Source organism: Homo sapiens, chromosome 2 (assembly GCF_000001405.40).
Source record: "Homo sapiens chromosome 2, GRCh38.p14 Primary Assembly".
NCBI lineage: Eukaryota > Metazoa > Chordata > Mammalia > Primates > Hominidae > Homo > Homo sapiens.
The window spans coordinates 151628277-151648281 of record NC_000002.12 but is presented as its reverse complement, the minus strand read 5'-3'; the positions used below and the strand labels follow the sequence as shown (position 1 = coordinate 151648281).

General features: G+C 38.2%; 1 protein-coding gene across 47 annotated transcripts in view; it reads left to right on the top strand.

The window, feature by feature from the left end:
* Positions 1 to 20005, top strand: part of NEB (nebulin) — a 249138-nt gene that overhangs the window by 86195 nt on the left and 142938 nt on the right. For 42 of the 47 annotated variants that reach the window (XM_005246617.3, XM_047444485.1, XM_047444484.1 and 39 more), the window contains exons 55-68: positions 2048 to 2152; positions 3707 to 3814; positions 4153 to 4464; positions 4929 to 5132; positions 5413 to 5517; positions 5601 to 5708; positions 7616 to 7927; positions 8222 to 8425; positions 8898 to 9002; positions 11948 to 12055; positions 14317 to 14628; positions 16936 to 17139; positions 17463 to 17567; positions 18636 to 18743. The exons of 1 other annotated variant lie outside the window; for it this stretch is intronic. In XM_005246617.3, coding sequence (XP_005246674.1) covers positions 2048 to 2152; positions 3707 to 3814; positions 4153 to 4464; positions 4929 to 5132; positions 5413 to 5517; positions 5601 to 5708; positions 7616 to 7927; positions 8222 to 8425; positions 8898 to 9002; positions 11948 to 12055; positions 14317 to 14628; positions 16936 to 17139; positions 17463 to 17567; positions 18636 to 18743 — 2400 coding nt within the window. The remainder of the gene's footprint in view (positions 1 to 2047; positions 2153 to 3706; positions 3815 to 4152; positions 4465 to 4928; positions 5133 to 5412; positions 5518 to 5600; positions 5709 to 7615; positions 7928 to 8221; positions 8426 to 8897; positions 9003 to 11947; positions 12056 to 14316; positions 14629 to 16935; positions 17140 to 17462; positions 17568 to 18635; positions 18744 to 20005) is intronic. 4 more of the 47 variants (XM_005246613.3, NM_004543.5, XM_005246612.3 and 1 more) reach the window with 4 other exon arrangements.

Sequence of the window (20005 nt, the reverse complement as noted above, 5' to 3'; positions counted from 1 at the left end):
CAGACACACACATCTCATGCTGCATACCTCAAAGGGAAATGGACAAGTTTAAGGAATCAATGAGACAAAAAAATTTTTTATTGAAATAATTTCAGGCACTCAGAAAAGTTGAAAAAATAGTACATGTAATTCACATATGTGTGTATGTGTGTGTGCATACATATACCCAGATTCCCCAAATGTTAAAATTTTACCACATTTGCTTTCTCTTTTTGTCTCTTTTTCTCCCTTTCTTTCTCTCAGATCTATATCTATATATCTATATGAGAAATTAAATTGCTTCATGATGCCTAAATATTCCGTCTGTATTTCCCAAGAATAAGAACATACTCACATAATCACATTGTGATGATTAAAATCACAGAATTAATTTCCACTGGTCTGCTAGTCTACAGAATTTATTCAATTTTATCACTAATATCCTTTATAAGAAAAGAAAATATTTTCTCTGGCTCAGGATTTAATCCAAGACCACAGGTTGCATTACTTGCTATGTCTTTAGTCTCCTTTACTCTGGACTAGTTCCTCACTGTTTCTTTGCCTTCCAAGTTTTTGACATTCGTAAAGAACATAGGTCAGTTATTTTGTAGAATCTCCCTCCATTTGGGTTTTCTGGTGGGTTCCTGTGATAGACTCAGATTATCTTTTCAGCAGGAGATCACACATTGTGTCCTCCTCAGTACCTCATATCAGGAGGCACAGGATATCAATTTGTTCTATTACTAATAACTTAAACACTTGGTTAAAGTGATGGTGCCAGGTTGCTGTACTGTTGAGTAACCATTTTATCCTTTGTAATTGATAAGTAATCTGGCAGGGAGATATTCTGCCCTGTGTAAATATTCTGTTTTTAATCAAATTTTCCTAGTTTTAGCCGGGCACGATGGCTCACACCTGTAATCCCAGCACTTTGGGAGGCCGAGGCAGGTGGATCACCTGCGATCAGGAGTTCGAGACCAGCCTGGCCAACATGGTGAAACCCCATCTCTACTAAAAATACAAAAATTAGCTGGGCATGTGGTGGGTGCCTGTAATCCCAGCTACTTGGGAAGCTGAGGCAGGAGAATTGCTTGAACCTGGGAGGTGGAGATTACAGTGAGCTAAGACTGCACCATTGCACTCCAGCATGGGCAACAAGAGTGAAACTCCATCTCAAAAAAAAAAAATTATTAGTTTTAGTAAGTCTGTGAAACTTTTGTTTGGATCCCCTTGTCTTCTGTTGAAGAGACATAAGGATGGCTCTGGGACATCCAAGATATCTTGATAAATTCCCCCCCAAAAAATCCTTTTGGGAATCCTAATCCTTCACAATGATTATGAGGCATAACTATAAATACTAAGTCACATAGAAGCTGGACACAGTGGCTCACACCTGTAATCCCAGCACTTTGGGAGGCTGAGGTGGGGAGTTCAAGGCCAGCCTGCACAACGTAGCGAAACCCTGTTTCTACTAAAAATACAAAAATTAGCCGGGTATGGTGGCACATGCCTGTAATCCTAGCTACTCAGGTGGCTGAGGCACCAGAATCACTTGAACTCAGGAGGCAGAGGTTGCAGTGAGCCATGATTGCGCCATTGCACTCCAGCCTGGGCAGCAGTGTAAGACTCTGTGTCAAAATAATGATAGTGATAACAATAAGCCACATAGGAAATAAAACTTCCTGATTTCTAGGCATGCTTTGAATAAGACATCTTTTGAAAAGGCAAGGGCTGCCTCTAAATTAAACACTGAGGGACACAACCCAGAAGATGGAGAAGCCTGTTTCATTTGATAATATTGGCAAGGCATGTAATTACCTAGATTGATTTCTTGTAGGCAGGATTATCTGTAACTTTGAAAATGTGACCCATAATCTCTGTGTTGAAAGGCAGTTATGTCCCAGATAAGTCAAGAAATATTGCATCTATTTTCTGCTTATGTTGTCTGCTTATTATATCAATTCTGTATAATGTTTAATTCAGATAAATTCAGCAATTCTGTTTGAAGCCAACTGTATCATTCACTAATCTAACAACACCACTGAAAAATTATTATTTCTTATTTTAGAGACTTTATAGAGAAGCTTGGGACAAAGACAAGACTCAGATCCACATCATGCCTGATACACCTGACATTGTTCTGGCTAAAGCAAACTTAATCAACACAAGTGATGTAAGTTTTCAAATTCAGCATGTGTTTTCAGAAAGCTCATTTTAATTGTTTCTAAATCAGTGAAATTGTCTAGAAGTTCTCTGAATCCCTGAATTATTTTAATTAATTAACTACATATGACTTAGATTCCTTATTTAGTGGCTTTTAGATTGAATATCGAAATGTTAGTACTCACTATGTCAGGCAGAATGGGGAGTCTGTATTCTCTGTTCCTTGCAGTCCGTTGTTATACATATCATCATAAGGTGGCTTATATTGCTCTTCCCAGTGTGGACAGGCACTCTTTGCAGGCAGAGGCAATTCTTATTGAATCTACAGTGCTTATCTAGAATCGTGCCTGACACATAGTAGACACTCAATGAAATTTTGGATCAGTGAGCATACAAAACCCACGCAGGAGAATCTCATTTTTATTGTCATTATCATTGCAGCATAATCTCCTGAAATGTATACATCTGAAAATTAAATATTTTAAAAACAAATTCTAAATTCTAATAGAATGACTTTAACATTAAAGAATGTATTAAAGTAGTTCCACGAAGGACTGACAGATAAACACAAGTCCAAGATCAATAGGCACTTTAAATAATCTGGTTTCTGGATAAAAGTACATTTAAATCATATTCTCAATTTTTAAATTATGTTACAGATCTGAAAAAACAAATTCTTTCACTTAAGCTTTTAAAATTCATTATTTAAACCTTCTTCAAAACATAAGTTTTAGAAATTATGGTGGACTCAGTATCTTACCTATAGATGTGGATCCTATTTTGGATGGTCCCATTTTGGGAGACAGACTATTTCACAATGCATCAGCTACATAGAAGAGATAACCCCTTAGGCATGATTTTTCCCCATTAGAAGAATTAGATGCTCTTTTCTAACAAAAACTTCTAATGAAACAGTCCATGTGAATTGAAAAACAGCACCTCAATAATAATCCATTTCATTTCTCTATTGTTTTACTTCTGCCTGATTCTTGCAAGTATAGACATGCACTGTATAACAACAGTTTGGCCAACAAAGGCACACATACAGGACGGTGGTCCCGTAACATAATCATACTGTATTTTTGCGGTATCTTTTCCATGTTTAGCTATATTTAGATAGACAAATATTAATACTTCCCATTGTGTTACAGTGGCCTACACTAACATGCTCTACAGGTTTGTAGCCTAGGAGGAATAGGCTATACCATATAGCCTAGGTGTGTACTAGGCCGTACCATCTAGGATTGCATAAGTACACTCTGTGATGTTCCCACAAGGACAAAATCACCTAACAATACATTTCTCGGAATGTATCTTTGTCATTAACCAATGCATGACTGTATTTGGGAAGAGCTGACAATTTTGCTGATTTAGGTAATTGAAGAGCTTTAAAGTTTAAAACAGGATCATTAGCAATCAATGGGCATAATTTCTAATTACATTTGAGTATTTTAGGGCACAGATGCTATTCTCATGGACTCAAAATATTTAGCACATTTGATCATTATGCTATATTTGTCTATGGGGAACAGTATTTCCCAAAATGATCTTCATTTCTTAACAGAAACTCTACCGAATGGGTTATGAGGAGCTGAAGAGAAAAGGTTACGATCTTCCTGTTGATGCCATACCAATCAAAGCAGCAAAAGCCTCCCGGGAAATTGCCAGTGAAGTAAGATTTTATCCTCTGTTGATATTGATTTGATTGCAATTTATCACTTCAAAGCAGTCTCAATTTAATTTTAAATTGAACAAAATCTAAGGGGTAACAAATTACAGTGGAATAAAATGATCCCATGCAGTGTGGGATGAGGATAAGATCAAGGATGCATTTATTATGTATGGAATTTCATAGCTGAATTTAGCCTTTAATCTTTCTTATCAAAAGACTGAAGTCTTTGGCTCTCTAGGCTTAGTAAAATATTTAGAGTTAATGCGCTTTGTAATTTGCCACAAAGATGGCAACAGAAGTAAATTTTGAAAGGAATGAGACACATTTTTTTTCTCTAGTACAAGTACAAGGAAGGCTTTCGCAAGCAGCTCGGCCACCACATTGGTGCCCGGAACATTGAAGATGACCCCAAGATGATGTGGTCCATGCATGTGGCCAAGATCCAGAGTGACAGGGAGTACAAGAAGGACTTTGAGAAGTGGAAGACCAAGTTCAGCAGCCCAGTGGACATGCTGGGGGTGGTGTTGGCCAAGAAGTGCCAGACCTTAGTCAGCGACGTGGACTACAAGAACTACCTGCACCAGTGGACATGCCTGCCCGACCAGAGCGATGTCATCCATGCTCGGCAGGCCTATGACCTCCAGAGCGATGTGAGTCTAAGATTTTCCTTTGGCCAACAAAACATTATGTCTGCTTTTTAAAGTATCAGAGTCCCATAGTGAGCAGAGTTGAGTTTACACAATTACCCTGGACTAATGCCCAAGCGCATCTAGTCACCCAGACATCTGGAGGCACCATTATTCCACAAAGAAAGAGCCAGCAAAGCCCCATTGCTTTGGTGGAAGCCTCTAGATTGTCGAGCTAGACAATCAAAGGATTGAGTCCTTTCCTATGTGCTTCTGTTTAAAATGTTTTTCAAAATATGCTTTTAATCTGAATATTTTGTTGATTTATAATTCATACCAAAAATTTAGAATTTTCTAATAATTCAAGTATTAAAAATATAGAGTATAATATGAACTTTTATTTAGGGGCAAATGATTTAATTATGACAAATTATGACAAATTGTGATAAATGATTTAATTATGACAAATTTGTCACTTGCACTTTCAGAATTTGTACAAGTCAGACCTTCAGTGGCTAAAAGGCATTGGCTGGATGACTAGTGGTTCTCTCGAGGATGAGAAAAATAAACGAGCCACCCAGATTTTGAGTGACCATGTTTACCGTCAGCACCCAGATCAATTTAAGTTTTCCAGCCTTATGGATTCCATACCAATGGTTTTGGCAAAAAACAATGCTATTACCATGAATCATGTAAGTCCTATGTTTGTTTGAGGAGGTTATTAATTTTTTTTGTTTATGGAAACACTGAAGTCTGTTTGTATAAAAGAAAACTTGTTTTTGATTCCTTTGCTTGGTACTAATGTGGTTTTAAAGTATTGTGCTTCTTATTGACACAAGACATTTAGACCTGAAAATGTCACAAATACCGATTCACTGAGCTGAAATTCTTGATTCTCATTAAAAATCAGACTGTCTGCATGTGTCTATTTATTACTGGCCTATACCAGTCATGTTTTTCTGTTTCTCTTAGCGCCTCTATACAGAAGCTTGGGATAAAGATAAAACCACTGTCCACATTATGCCAGATACCCCTGAAGTTTTATTAGCTAAACAAAACAAAGTAAATTACAGTGAGGTAAGTAATATATTCATAGTGCGTGATACATTTTCCTTACAATGCACTTTATAAATCCAACTTACTATTAATGTCTATTTTAGAAATTGTATAAGCTTGGCCTAGAAGAAGCCAAGAGGAAAGGTTATGACATGCGGGTAGATGCCATTCCTATCAAGGCAGCCAAGGCCTCCAGAGATATTGCAAGTGAAGTAAGTATACTTGGAAAGTTATTTGCCTTAGCTTTGGCTCAAAGATTTATTTCTCTCTCCTGGATTTATAGTGGCACAAGTAAGCCATGAGGTTAAAGCTGTTGCTAACAGTTTATTGTTTCGATGAATGGTTTAAAATAATGGTAATAGAGTTATCAACAGAAAGGCCAAATTCAAGTTATTGTTGAGTCCATAGCAACATGCATTTCAAAACATGTCCGTTTCCTGCTGAACAAAAGTATTAGATACTTGACTATAGTTCAGATAATTTTTTTGGCTTTTCCAATGATGTATCTCTCATATACAATTGAGCTTATTGTAGGGTTCCTTCAAAACCCAACCTATGCTGTATGAACCAATGAATCTACAAGGGCTGAATTATAGGACACATTACTCAAAGTTCAACGATTCCTGTGGAACATGTTTGTTTCTATATCAGGTGGTGGGTTACAAATATTTGCTTTCTTTAAAAGATGGATTTGCTCACTGTCACAAGGACAGAAAATCAAACACTGCATGTTCTCACTCATAGGTGGGAATTGAACAATGAGAACACATGGACACAGGGTGGGGAACATCACACACTGGGGCCTGTCATAGGATGGGGGGAGGGAGGAGGGATAGCATTAGGAGATATACCTAACGTAAATGATCAGTTAATGGGTGCAGCACACCAACATGGCACATATATACATATGTAACAAACCTGCACGTTGTGCACATGTACCCTAGAACTTAAAGTATAATAAATAAAGGATTTGCTCACATTTCTAAAAATTTTTATCTTTCCATTTCTTTTGTCTATGAATAAAAAAAACTCTAGATTTTTTTCTTTATTTCCAAAATATGGGAAGTAATCATAATTTAAGAATAAATGACAATCACAGAAGGGTTAAATACCATATAATGAAATACCTACCTGTCATTAAAAATCATGTGTATAGGTCAGGCACCATGGCTCACACCTGTAATCCCAGTGCTTTGGGAGGTCAAGGCGGGAGGATCACTTAAGGGCAGGAGTTTGAGACCAGCCTGGTCAACATAGCAAGGCACTATCTCTACAAAAAACTTAAAAATTAGCCAGGTGTGATGGCGCATGCCTGTAGTGCTAGCTACTCAGAAGCTGAGGTGGGAGGATCACTTCAGCCCAAGAGTTGGAGGTTGCAGTGAGACATGATTGTACCACTGCACTCCAACCTGGGCAACAGAGAGAGATGCTTTCTAAAATACAAAACAAAACAAAACAAAAAAAACAGTCATGTGTGCAAAGACTATTTAATGACACATAGAAATGCTTATATAATAACTGAAAAGAGCAGGCACAAACCCATATACAATATGACTTCTAATTATATTCTCACACACGAATCATAACAAATTATTTTAGTGGCAGAATTACATCTTAATTTTTCTTTTTTTTCTGTGTGTATAAATATACAGACATTCTTTGCAGGCAAAGATAATTTTTATTGAATCTGCGGTACTTATCTAGAATTGTGCCTGACACATAGTAGATACTCAATGAAATTTTGGATCATTGAGCATATAAAACCCATGCAGGAGAATTTCATTTTTATTGTCATTGTCATTGCAGCATAATCTCCTGAAATTTATACATCTAAAAATTAAATATTTTAAAAACAAATTCTAAATTCTAACAGAATGACTTTCACATTAAAGAATGTATTAAAGTAATGCCTATCTATATGGTATATATTTTATATAAGATATATATTTCATATGTGATGATATGTGCTATATTTATTTTCTAAATTGTTTCTACATCTATCATATAATTTACATATTCAGGGAAAATTTTTTTTTTAATAAATAGAGCAAGTTAGGCTTAGTGATTGCTTTTTACTAAAAGTTAAAACAGATGACTATCTGTCTTTTTCTTCTTTTAGTTCAAGTACAAAGAAGGCTATCGTAAGCAGCTCGGCCACCACATTGGTGCCCGAGCTATACGTGATGACCCCAAGATGATGTGGTCCATGCACGTGGCCAAGATCCAGAGTGACAGGGAGTACAAGAAGGACTTTGAGAAGTGGAAGACCAAGTTCAGCAGCCCAGTGGACATGCTGGGGGTGGTGCTGGCCAAGAAGTGCCAGACCTTAGTCAGCGATGTGGACTACAAGAACTACCTGCACCAGTGGACATGCCTGCCCGACCAGAGCGACGTCATCCATGCTCGGCAGGCCTATGACCTCCAGAGCGATGTGAGTACTGAGAGTCATAATAACGTGCAGAGGTGGGAAATTATTTAACACCCCTTGGAGAAAATGGCAATATATGGCACAAGCTCACCAGCCCCTGGAGGAGGCAAATAGCATTGCCTTTATCGACAGGAATTTTAATCCTTTAACCCTTCAGACCAAAGAGGAATATTGTGTGATACCTGGCCCGTCCACCAAACTAAATTTTGAGAGTGCTTTTACTTGATCTCTTATCCTTCAGATGAAAATGCATTGCTGATACAGAGATAAATATTTATTGGCTATTTGTGTCAACAGAATATGTACAAGTCTGATCTCCAGTGGATGAGAGGCATTGGCTGGGTGTCCATTGGCTCTTTGGATGTGGAAAAATGCAAAAGGGCAACTGAAATTTTGAGTGATAAAATCTATCGCCAGCCTCCAGACAGATTCAAATTTACCAGTGTGACTGACTCTCTGGAACAAGTGTTGGCCAAAAATAATGCCATCACTATGAACAAGGTGAGACTTCAAAATTAAGAATCGAAGTGGGGCTCCTAAAGCTGAATCAACAAAAAAGAAACATTAATGAGGAAAGAAAGAACATTGAGTAATAAAAGGCATCTATCTATCTGTCTATGTATCTATTGGCTTCTCATCTATCTATTAATAACTGATATATATCATGTATATTTTGATATTTAGTCATTGTTTCATGATTTTGATAAAGTAGCATATTTTATCAAAAAATAGTCTGCATAAAATATGCTTATTCTCATTTTCCTTTTGTTAACATACATTTCAGATTATTAGAAGGCATTTATAAATACACATTCCTTTATGAACTTATTACCCGAAGATGTGCATAAAACACATAATGTGTATAAAACACATAACCTTTTCTTTTTTTTTATAAAGTTTTTGTGGCCCTAAAATTCCTATTAACTATACACAGAACTTTTTTCCTGATGAATTTGTGTATTTTTTTTGATAGCGTTTATACACAGAAGCCTGGGACAAAGACAAGACTCAGATCCACATAATGCCAGACACACCAGAAATTATGTTGGCAAGAATGAACAAAATCAACTACAGTGAGGTGAGAGCAGATTCTTTGACATTTGCACACTGCTGCTTATTTCAGTTGATCTACTCTATGATGACATGATACCAAATGACAGCTTTAGAAAGAATCTTTTTCATGTTTCATGTGAATAACAACTCTTGCATTTCTCAATCACCATCATAAATGTCAAACTTTATGCAATATGAATTATCATTTAGGAAATACAAATGACATGAACTAATTATTTAAGCTGTAACCATGAGATTATGTAGACCATTTTCTTTTATTATTTTTTTGAAGTTAGGATATTAGCAATTGACCTATACATGTATCTCCCCTTTATGCTAAAGCATAACTGTAGTAAATATATTTTCCATATATTGTTCCTAAGTGTGGTTTAGGATCCAAATTTAAGATTTTTAGTATATAAGATTAAAGGCAAGAACTAAAATCCACAGTACTACCAGGTAACCCACACACACACACACACACACACACACACACAGAGAGAGAGAAATATCTGTCAGTGTAAATATTAGCAAGCCCATTTCCTTTCACTTTCAGTGTGCACAGGGCCACGTGCCATCATTCCAGAATCATAGAGGCTTAGGCAGAGAGTCAAGCCTCCACCCTAGTGCAAAGGTACCCCTCCCCACAAATAGGTTTTTGACCTGCCTTTGCTTAAGGGTTCCCAGTGACAAGGAGCTGATCTCATAAATCAGTCCATTCGTTCTGGAAAATTTATGAGAAAGCTTCTGATGTATTGAGTCACAACATTTCTCTCTGTAAACTCACATAGTCCTCTGAAGCTGCACAGAACAAATCTGTGCCAACCCCCAGAGATGGAGAGCAGCACCAGGGTGCCTCCCCTGCCACCTTCACCCCAGGTTCACCTTCAAATCCAATATCCCAAGCTGCGGGGCATTCCTCACATGACATCACTAGTAAAATGTGACTCTCAGAACTGAGCAAAATACTATGAGTGGGGAATGACTGATGTAGAATACACTTAACTATCGTATTTCCTCTTCTGGACATATGACCTCTATTCTGCATCCTGTGCTCCCAGGATACATTGGCAGCTGTCACTGCTGGTGCACACAGAACTTGAGACCAACTTAAACTCTAAGACATCTTATGTGGACTAAAGTTAGGTTTCTTCCATCCTGCATTTATGCGTTTGGTAATTTATCTCTGTTCAAAGATTGGCATTTATCTCTGTAATTTCTTCTTCTTAGACTGAGCCTGTGGGTATAAGCCTGTGGAGATTTTTGTGAATCTAAGATTCTGTCAGCTGATGTGTTAGTTATTTCACCTGGCTTTGTGCCACCAGCAAGGAAAATATTGTTTATTTGGCAGCATAAATCAACACACAGAGCATAATTTAGAGAATTTAGATGGAATTGCCACCATCTTAAGTAATTATTTTGGAAGTGAGACTGTAATTTTAGTGCTTGTATAGCTAGCTTTTAATTGTCACCAAAAACTAAAAACATCAAGTCTTACTCCCCTGTCAGAAAGGACTGAATTATTAGCCAAACCTATAATATAGGTCCTGTTACAGGAAACCATGCATTACATGTGCAAGAATTTCAGGAAACAAAGGGCTCCCCCTGTGTCTAGCTAGTCAGCATTTCTGGATTTCTCAACTCTGTCTTTGCTGAAAAAGCTCAGAGATGTGTTAGTGCGGCTACTCGGCTGCCAGTCCCAGGAGGCCCAGGTGCCCTTCCCCATTTTGCCCGCAACCCCCTATTCCACCCACCCAGACTGGGACGCTGCCATGGGCGCTCCCCTCTGATGTTAAAAAGAAGAGAACTTTTTGGCTGCTTTCCTATTTTCTGTAGAATTAAACACCAACTTCTTAGAATGAGGCGTTCACAGTCCAACTCTGGGCTATTCTCAGCCCTCTCCTGTGAACTCCTCCCTGGGGCCTCACCCACTTCCTTCAACACCCCTCCGCTTCCCCTCCACAGTGGTGCCTTGATTCACGTGATTTCCTCTGCACTTGATGCCACCTTAGTCTACTGAAACTCTGCTCAAAGTCTAACTCAAAGGTCACCCCATCTTCAAGAACTTCCCTGATTCTCAGTTCAGAATAAATGACTCCTTCCTGGAGCTCTTCATTATTAGTGTGGTTTGACTTTTCAGCAGTTGCTTCCACAGGTTATCAGTCTCTCCATCAGTTCTCCCAGGAACCTTTAGGTTGAGAGGGGTCTCAACCTCATCTTTGATTCCCAAGTACCCCGCACAGTCAGAGACACAGGGTCAGGGCAGAATAAATGTGAGTTGAATTGATTGCCATGATCAACAGTTAAGCCTTTCCCTCCCACCCACATTTTACCATGCTAGAACTATGAGTTTCAGCTTAATTTTTCCTGTAATTTTTAAACTGGATTTATTGTTTTAACTAAAATTTTTTAAAACAACCTGTAATATGTATATATACTTAATTCAACATAATTTTTAAAGTAAAAAATAAAGGTGCATTGGGCTTTATGGGTATCTTTTTTTTTTGTTTTGTTTTGTTTTTTGAGATGGAGTTTCACTCTTGTTGCCCAGGCTGGAGTGCATTGGCACAATCTCAGCTCACTGCAACTTCCGCCTCCCAGGTTCAAGTAATTCTCCTGCCTCAGTCTCCCAAGTAACTGGGATTGCAGGCATGCACCACCACACCCAGCTAATTTTTTTTATATTTAGTAGAGATGGGGTTTCACCATGTTGGCCATGCTGGTCTCGAACTCCTGACCTCAGGTGATCCACCCGCCTCTGCCTCCCAAAGTGCTGGGATTACAGGTGTGAGCCACCACACCTAGCCTCATTTTTGAGTCTTCACTTCAACAAACATGCAGAAGGCTTAGAACTCTCAAAAGAAAGATTATTATAGGCACTGTCTGTGGAGAACTTAGTGAATTGTCTTAGTCCTCTGTCAGTTTTTAGATATAAATGTCAGCATCTGATTTTTTTTCCCCCAAATTTAGAGTCTGTACAAACTTGCTAATGAAGAAGCAAAGAAGAAAGGCTATGACTTGCGAAGCGACGCCATCCCCATCGTGGCGGCCAAGGCCTCCAGGGACATCATCAGTGACGTGAGTTGTCAATTCCATTCTGAGTATGTGATCAATCTAATGTGGCATTTTCACTGAACTAAATCTTAGAAAAGAACTTTTCCTGGACCTTTGAAAATATATCCTGATATATTTGTGTAGGATTTTTCAAAACCTCAGTTTTAAGGGAAATGAAAATCTTGATGTTTATAAGAGGGATCTGTAACCTACAGGACACAGCGTCTTCTGTGAAAACTGGTCAACCAAAAATAGAGAAAGATTCATTCATGTGGACCCTGTTAGAGTGAAGCTGCAGGCTTGGAGATGCTTATGTAAGAATTATCACCGGCTTATAGAAAAGCTTATAGAAGATATAACTCATAAACTTAGGTTCTGCCAGTGAGATTCAGGGCCTGGCTTTATGTAACATTTGAATAGATAGTATTTTAAAACACATGCGGTGCTTGCTATTGAAATTTGCCCTTATGAAAAGAAGGCAGTTGATCAGTACCAGAGGTGACTGCTGACCTAAGGTTACACTCTTTTTTTTTTTTTTTTTTTGGAGACAGAGTTTTGCTCTTGTTGCCCAGGCTGGAGTGCAATGGCCTGATCTCAGCTCACTGCAACCTCTGCCCCCTGGGGTCAAGCGATTCTCCTGCCTCAGCCTCCCGAGTAGCTGGGATTACAGGCACTCACCACCACGCCCATAATTTTTTGTATTTTTAGTAGAGATGGGTTTTCACCATGTTGGCCAGGCTGGTCCCAAATTCTTGACCTCAGGTGATCCACTTGCCTCAGGCTCCCAAAGTGCTGGTTTTACAAGCGTGAGGTCACACTCTTAGCAATAGCTCCTAGCCATTTAGCACGTCTCCCAGAGCAAAACTGTCATCCTTTTCTGGTGCCTCAGGGATTCTTGAGGAACAAATGACGGCTCTAAAAATCAAGGCCCACTTGCTGTCCTTTATATTGGAATCTTATGTTAGTGACTCAACTTTATGTATGTTGGACCCTCCCAGCAAATGGACTTATGCCAATAATAATAAATAATGACATAATAATAACCAAGAAGTATTGAGAACTCTTTGCTAAGAGCTTTATATGCATTGTCTCACTTACTCTTCATAATTGCCCTAGGATGTAGATATTATCATTATCCCCATTTTGAGGATTGTTTAAGCAACTTGCCTCAAATCAAACTCCTAGTGAGTGGGGGAGTTGGGACTCTGAACAATCTCATTCCTTTCCACTGTACCATATTGTCTCTTGCTGACTCACCTACACTTTCTCGGTCAGTTGTCTTTGAGACTAGAAGCATGTATTTTGGATAACTGGCTTAGATTCCAGAATGAAGTCATTGGACATGAATAATAAAAACATTGTTGATACATGTGAGGCTAGAACCCATGACCTTATTAAGAGCATAATCTAACCAGTTGGGTTGCTATGTCAGTTTTACAAGTACAATCAGTTTTCAAAATGATGCCAAAAGCTTGCCACTGCCATTGAATGCATGAATCTAGTAAAATAATAATAATAATAATAAATTCTCCTCGGTTGCTACTACAGGTGATCCTTACAGGAATCAGTCACTCATTTTACTGTTTTTATTTTATTTTATTTTATTTTTTTGAGATGGAGTCTTGCTGTCACCCAGGCTGGAGTGCAGTGGCGTAATTTTGGGTCACTGCAAGCTCTGCCTCCTGGGTTCATGCCATTCTCCTGCCTCAGCCTCCCAAGTAGCTGGGACTACAGGCGCCCGCCACCACGCCCGGCTTATTTTTTTATTTTTAGTAGAGACGAGGTTTCACCATATTAGCCAGGATGGTCTTGATCTCCTGACCTCATGATCCACCTGCCTTAGCCTCCCAAAGTGCTGGGATTACAGGCATGAGCCACCGTGCCCAGCCTCATTTTACTGTTTATCAAAGACACCATTCTACCAAGTGCACCCTCTTCCTGACATGCTTTTAGTGTATAGAATCCAATTCTACAGGTTCCCTGGTTCAAATGTTCTCTCCCTGACTTCCACAGGTGACCTTTTCCCCACATATGCACTTCTTGTTTTCAGAGGTATCCCTTAGTACCAGGCTGTAGGTGATTTGGGGTATATACTACAATTACATGAATTCCATCTATTTTTCTACCTCTGTAAGGGCTTCCAGGATGAAAGCCAGGATACTGGCTTGAGTTAGTACTTGTTAACAAAAGTCAGTTGAAGTATGATGTAAGCAAGTTGATTTTGCACAGACTTGTGGCCTCTAAGGGGTTACAATAAAAACCTGATTTGTGCATTTTCATTTTAGTACAAATATAAAGATGGTTACTGCAAGCAACTTGGCCACCATATTGGAGCCCGGAACATTGAAGATGACCCCAAGATGATGTGGTCCATGCACGTAGCCAAGATCCAGAGTGACAGGGAGTACAAAAAGGACTTTGAGAAGTGGAAGACCAAGTTCAGCAGCCCAGTGGACATGCTGGGGGTGGTGCTGGCCAAGAAGTGCCAGACCTTAGTCAGTGACGTGGACTATAAGAACTACCTGCACGAGTGGACATGCCTGCCTGACCAGAGCGATGTCATCCATGCTCGGCAGGCCTATGACCTCCAGAGTGACGTGAGTACAGCATCTATAAATGGAGCTGTGCATAGAAATAATTTAAACTATGTGAAAATTATCCTTTATATACAATCCATTACTCAAGTTAAGATTGATTGGTCCATGAATAAGATTTAAATCAGAATACAATTTTATTGCTTTATTATGAATACACTAATAGACTTCATAAGAAAGTAAAATTAACAAAGTGGACTTGGTCTTATAAAAACAAAATGGGAATTAAGTAACATTAGAATTCAGGGTCCACTAGAGGGAGACATTTATTCTTTTTTTAAGGAAGGAAGAAACGTTTTTACTTTAAAAAGAAATTACTGTGGAATTTGTTTTTGGCTTCTTTGCAAACCAAAGAATTATTGAATTCTAATGCCTACTGCAACACTAAATATTATGCTTATGAAATAAAAGAAGTCTCTGTGTCTGTACACTACTGGACTGTTTCACAGACACTTCCTCTTAGCCTGGCTGTCTATGGAGGAGCCACATGGTAATGACAGAGCCTACTACCTATTGGAAGCAGATACACTATCTCAAATCTGGATATGAGAGGCACATTTCCTGCACTAGGTATTTTATAAACTTTGAAGGAATTAAAGCACTAGCAAGTTTTGGAAACTAAAACTAATTTGTAATAATTATACATTAATTGGTTGTTCCTAAAAACTTACAGCCTACCTGAGAAAACTCCCACGTCTGTTCTGTAGCTTCTGACATACAGAACCCTGTGTTTTGCAATTCTTTCCAAAAAGAAAGGCTTTGCCTGCACAGAAAAGATAGTTTAAAAGGGTTGATGTCACCCATACAACGACAATATTGACAGATTGCTTACCATCTGTCTATTTGTTGGGCACCTTCTCTGGATTACCTTCCTCACCCTGCGATATGACCTTCATAATGTGGGAAGTATTTGAAAGTTAAAAAGCATTCTGGAGGTATAAACTGTTATTGTTTTCATTCTTTTTTTTTTTTTTTTTTTCTGAGACAGAGTCTCCCTCTGTCGCCCAGGCTGGAGTGCAGTGGCGCGATCTCGGATTACTGCAACCTTCGCCTCCCGGGTTCAAGTGATTCTCATGCTTCAGCCTCCCTGCAGCTGGAATTACAGGCTGCTGCCTCCCTGCCCCACTAATTTTTTGTATTTTTAGTGGAGATGGGGTTTCGCCATATTGGCCAGGCTGGTCTCCAACTCCTGACCTCAGGTGATCTGCCCCCCTCAGCATCCCAAAGTGCTGGAATTACAGGCGTGGACCCCAACACCTGTCCTGTTTTCATTCTTGCTATTGTTATTTGTGGGGCAATAACTAGTCAGCACAGGCTAATTCTAATAGTTTTTTTTTTTTTGTCTAGACTACAAAATACAAGTTTTTTTATTTTCTACTTAGTTTCTGTGACAGGTGAAATCTTTCCAATGAGCCAAACAAAGATTCAAAACTATGATTGTGAAGCAGTTATGAATATCTAATGGGTATATAAAAACCTTCAGCAAAAAAAAATTTTTTAATAAAGTGAGAAAAATATGGCAATATGATTTTATATAGGTGTCTGTGCTTCCATCCTGAGGACTTGGTGAGGAAGAGACTGGGGCCCTGCACAATGAAATTGTCCATTTAATAAATAATTAAATTTTATTGCCCTGAATCTTGGACAGAGTTACAGCTGTTGAAGATCTCAGGGCTTCAGGGGTTCTACAGCACTGTTATATTTTAACTGTGTTTTTAAAGGCATTACAGATATTTTGAAATGTATAGAAGAATACATCGCAGGGAATAAGAATCCAAAACAATCCAACCACTAGAAAAACCCACTCTTATTCATGTAATTTATCTACCCACATTGTTTTATGTGCTACTTTAAAATTTCATATTGTATTAATGACATTTCTACATGTCATAAATATTCTTCAACAGTGAAGCTTTTAATGGCTTCAGAGTGTTCCATTTGCCTCGGCCTAAAATTGATTCACTAAGGGCCTGATGTTGGGCACGGGTGTGGTTTCTGTCTCTCTGGGTTGGTATTCTTCCCTGCATAGGGATGTTATAATTATGATAATGTTCACTGAACCAACTGACAGAAGATATTACTTGGGATCACTCCTCTCCTAATAACCTGAAATGTTTGATAACTTTTTATTATGGCTAGGAGATATTTCTGGGTCATTTTTGAGCATAATTCTTTTAGTTTGCCTTATACAACGCGCTTGTTTTCTACGAATAGAAAACAGAATTGCACTTTATTACTGATTCTATTTGCATATTTACCCTAAATATTGTGGTCTTGATGAAGAGTTTTTGACTTTTTTCCTCTGCTCAGAATATTTACAAGTCAGATCTCCAGTGGCTGAGAGGCATTGGCTGGGTCCCCATTGGGTCTATGGATGTGGTCAAGTGCAAGAGAGCTACCGAAATACTGAGTGATAACATCTACCGCCAGCCTCCGGACAAGCTGAAATTTACCAGTGTGACTGATTCTCTAGAGCAGGTGCTGGCCAAGAACAATGCTCTCAACATGAATAAGGTGAGTCCTAGCTGCCTTAAGCTTCTCCAAGATGCCAGAAGATGTTATTATACTTTAATGACTAATGGAGTCTAAATTATCTATGAAGGCGTGGGGTCGCATTTTTACCTTTTAAATTACATGCTTGAAATCCTCTAAATAATTTTGATTATTCCAAGTTTCAATCTTGATAACTAGTAATAAGACTCACACTTCCAGTAGAATACTTTATATTCAAGTCTGGCTTATTTTTCCTAATTAGGTCAGTAATAACAGTTTTAAATGAACTTTTTGTCATTTCTATTTCAAATGATTTTTAATCAGCATCTTATCTTCTTTTATAGCGTTTATACACAGAGGCCTGGGACAAAGACAAGACTCAAATTCACATAATGCCTGATACACCAGAGATTATGTTGGCAAGGCAGAACAAAATCAACTACAGTGAGGTAGGAGCAAAAATCTGTGGTGCTATATTGTGGTGGTGGTGTCTATACTTAGTTTTGTGGAGATTCTTGGGCCTCAGCTGTCATGGTGCATGTGGCTCTTTCATTTAACACTCCACTCATCCAACCTTTCATCTCTGGGTTAAATATTACATTTTATGGGATTCCACTGGCAAACTGAAGTCACAATGTCTTTTCTGTTCGTGGTGATTTCCAGTGAGTCAGTGGGACTGAGTAGTATTTTAGACACTTCAGAGGATTGTCAGATAAAATACTGGCCCATTATTTCTGCCAAAATATTCATGCCCACTAATTCCATCCCTACCAATTAGATACATCAGTAAATCACTGCACCTTTCCAGGGCAGAGAGAGTAAAGGGGCAGAAAAGGCCTCAGTTAAAATAACTGAGCTTTGTCTATAGAAAGAAAACCTTAGGCATAAGGAAGAAGTGTTCTCTATCAACAACATTGATTACTGACTTTTTTAAAAGTAAAATGCAATTTTATAGACACGTGGTTTATTAATATGATACAACCAAAATTTAGAAAGTTGTGATTATGGTTGTTAACTATATTTTGTTATATTTTAATTTTTCTTATTTGTCTTTTAAACATTATAAAATATGATTGTCATACAAATTGTAGGTAATAAAAATGAATAAAAATATATTTTTATACGTATAGATAGATATTAAACATTGTTCTACCATTTTTTTTCACTTAGTGGTATGTTTGGATTGCTGCTTTGCTCATCAATCTGTATTACTAGATTGTATTGATCTATGCTGATATGTACATCATATTGATCTATGTATAGCATATTAATCTATAATGATATATAATAGGTTAATATATCACTATATATTAATGTTCATTGATATATCCCATTTATTTCTAACGCTATATAGTATTTTTGGTAGAATATAATTTATTTGCTTTCCACTATTGCCAGAAACTTGAATTGTCTCCAGTTCCTATCCTTTTTTAAATTTTAGGATATAAGTCACTTAATAATCTCTGAATTGTTGATGTCAAACCTTTTGCTTTAACTCTTTGCCTTTCTTTTCATAGACTCTATACAAACTTGCCAATGAAGAAGCAAAAAAGAAAGGCTACGACTTGCGAAGTGACGCCATCCCCATCGTGGCTGCCAAGGCCTCCAGGGACGTTATCAGTGATGTGAGTAGCAACACCCTAGATATTTACATGGATGGATGAAGTGGGGAGGCAGGATTATTACTATTATAACATTTGGGGGCCAGTTTAAGCACATTTATTGGCTTGTTTTTCTAAATCAAATTCAAATTCAAAGTTTTTCATTTGAAAAAACTCATGTTTTAAGCTTCGGAAGACTTCAGTATCTATGTCCCAGGTAGGAAGGGGGTAACCTAAACCAGTATACTTCAATGCAGTATAAAATTGGATGTGATTCTATAATTTTTCATATCTACAATTATGAGAAATTCATCTCCATATTTTGAGCATAGAGCCTCACAGAAAATAGAAAATGGCAAAAGAGGTGTTAAAAAATAACTTAGTTACATGTATTGGTTCAATATCAGAAGAAGAGCTGATAGAACCAAGTCTAGGAAAATCCACCTTTCCCCAAATCTGCTCTGTGTTTTTGCCAACTCATTTTTTTTTGGAAAATTATCTTAAATCCTTCCTTTTGAGTTCTTTTAAAATGAAAACAGAAAGACAAAGACGAGGAAAACAAGAAAATGGTGAACCTAATTTCTCCTCCTGCCATCTCTGAAAGAGGTGGGTTCTTTGGTGGAAAATTCAGACTTCTTCTTCTTCTTCTTCTTCTTCTTTTCTTTTGTTTTTGTTTGTTTGTTTGTTTGTTTGAGACAGAGTCTCAGAGTCTCACTCTTGTTGCCCAGGCTAGAGTGCAATGGTATGATCTTGGCTCTCTGCAACCTCCGCCTCCCGGGTTCAAGTGATTCTCCTGCCTCAGCCTCCCAAGTAACTGGGATTACAGGCACCAGCCACCACACTTGGCTAATTTTTTTTTAGTATTTAGTATTTTTTGTATTTTTAGTAGAGACAGCGTTGCACCATGTTGGCTAGGCTGGTCTCAAACTCCTGACCTCAGGCGATCCGCCTCCCTCGGCTTCCCAAAGTGCTGGGATTACAGGCATAAGCCACTATGCCCAGCTGAAAATTCGGACTTCTGTAAATATTTGTTGGGATTGGTGTGGTGTGTTGTCTGAAATAGGGAGAAAATATCCAGTTTGCCCTTACCACCACCAACAACAAAATGCTTTTTTGTAGATACATATTCCATTTTTCACTTGAGGAATCCCAAACAAACCTCAGTCAAATTTGATCTCCAACAGAGCAGGGCTTGTAGTATGGGAATATAATCCAGACCACTTCAGGGAGTCAAGTGCCCCAGCAGAGCTGGATTTGGGAAGGAGTGTGGGTGTGTTGGATGGAGG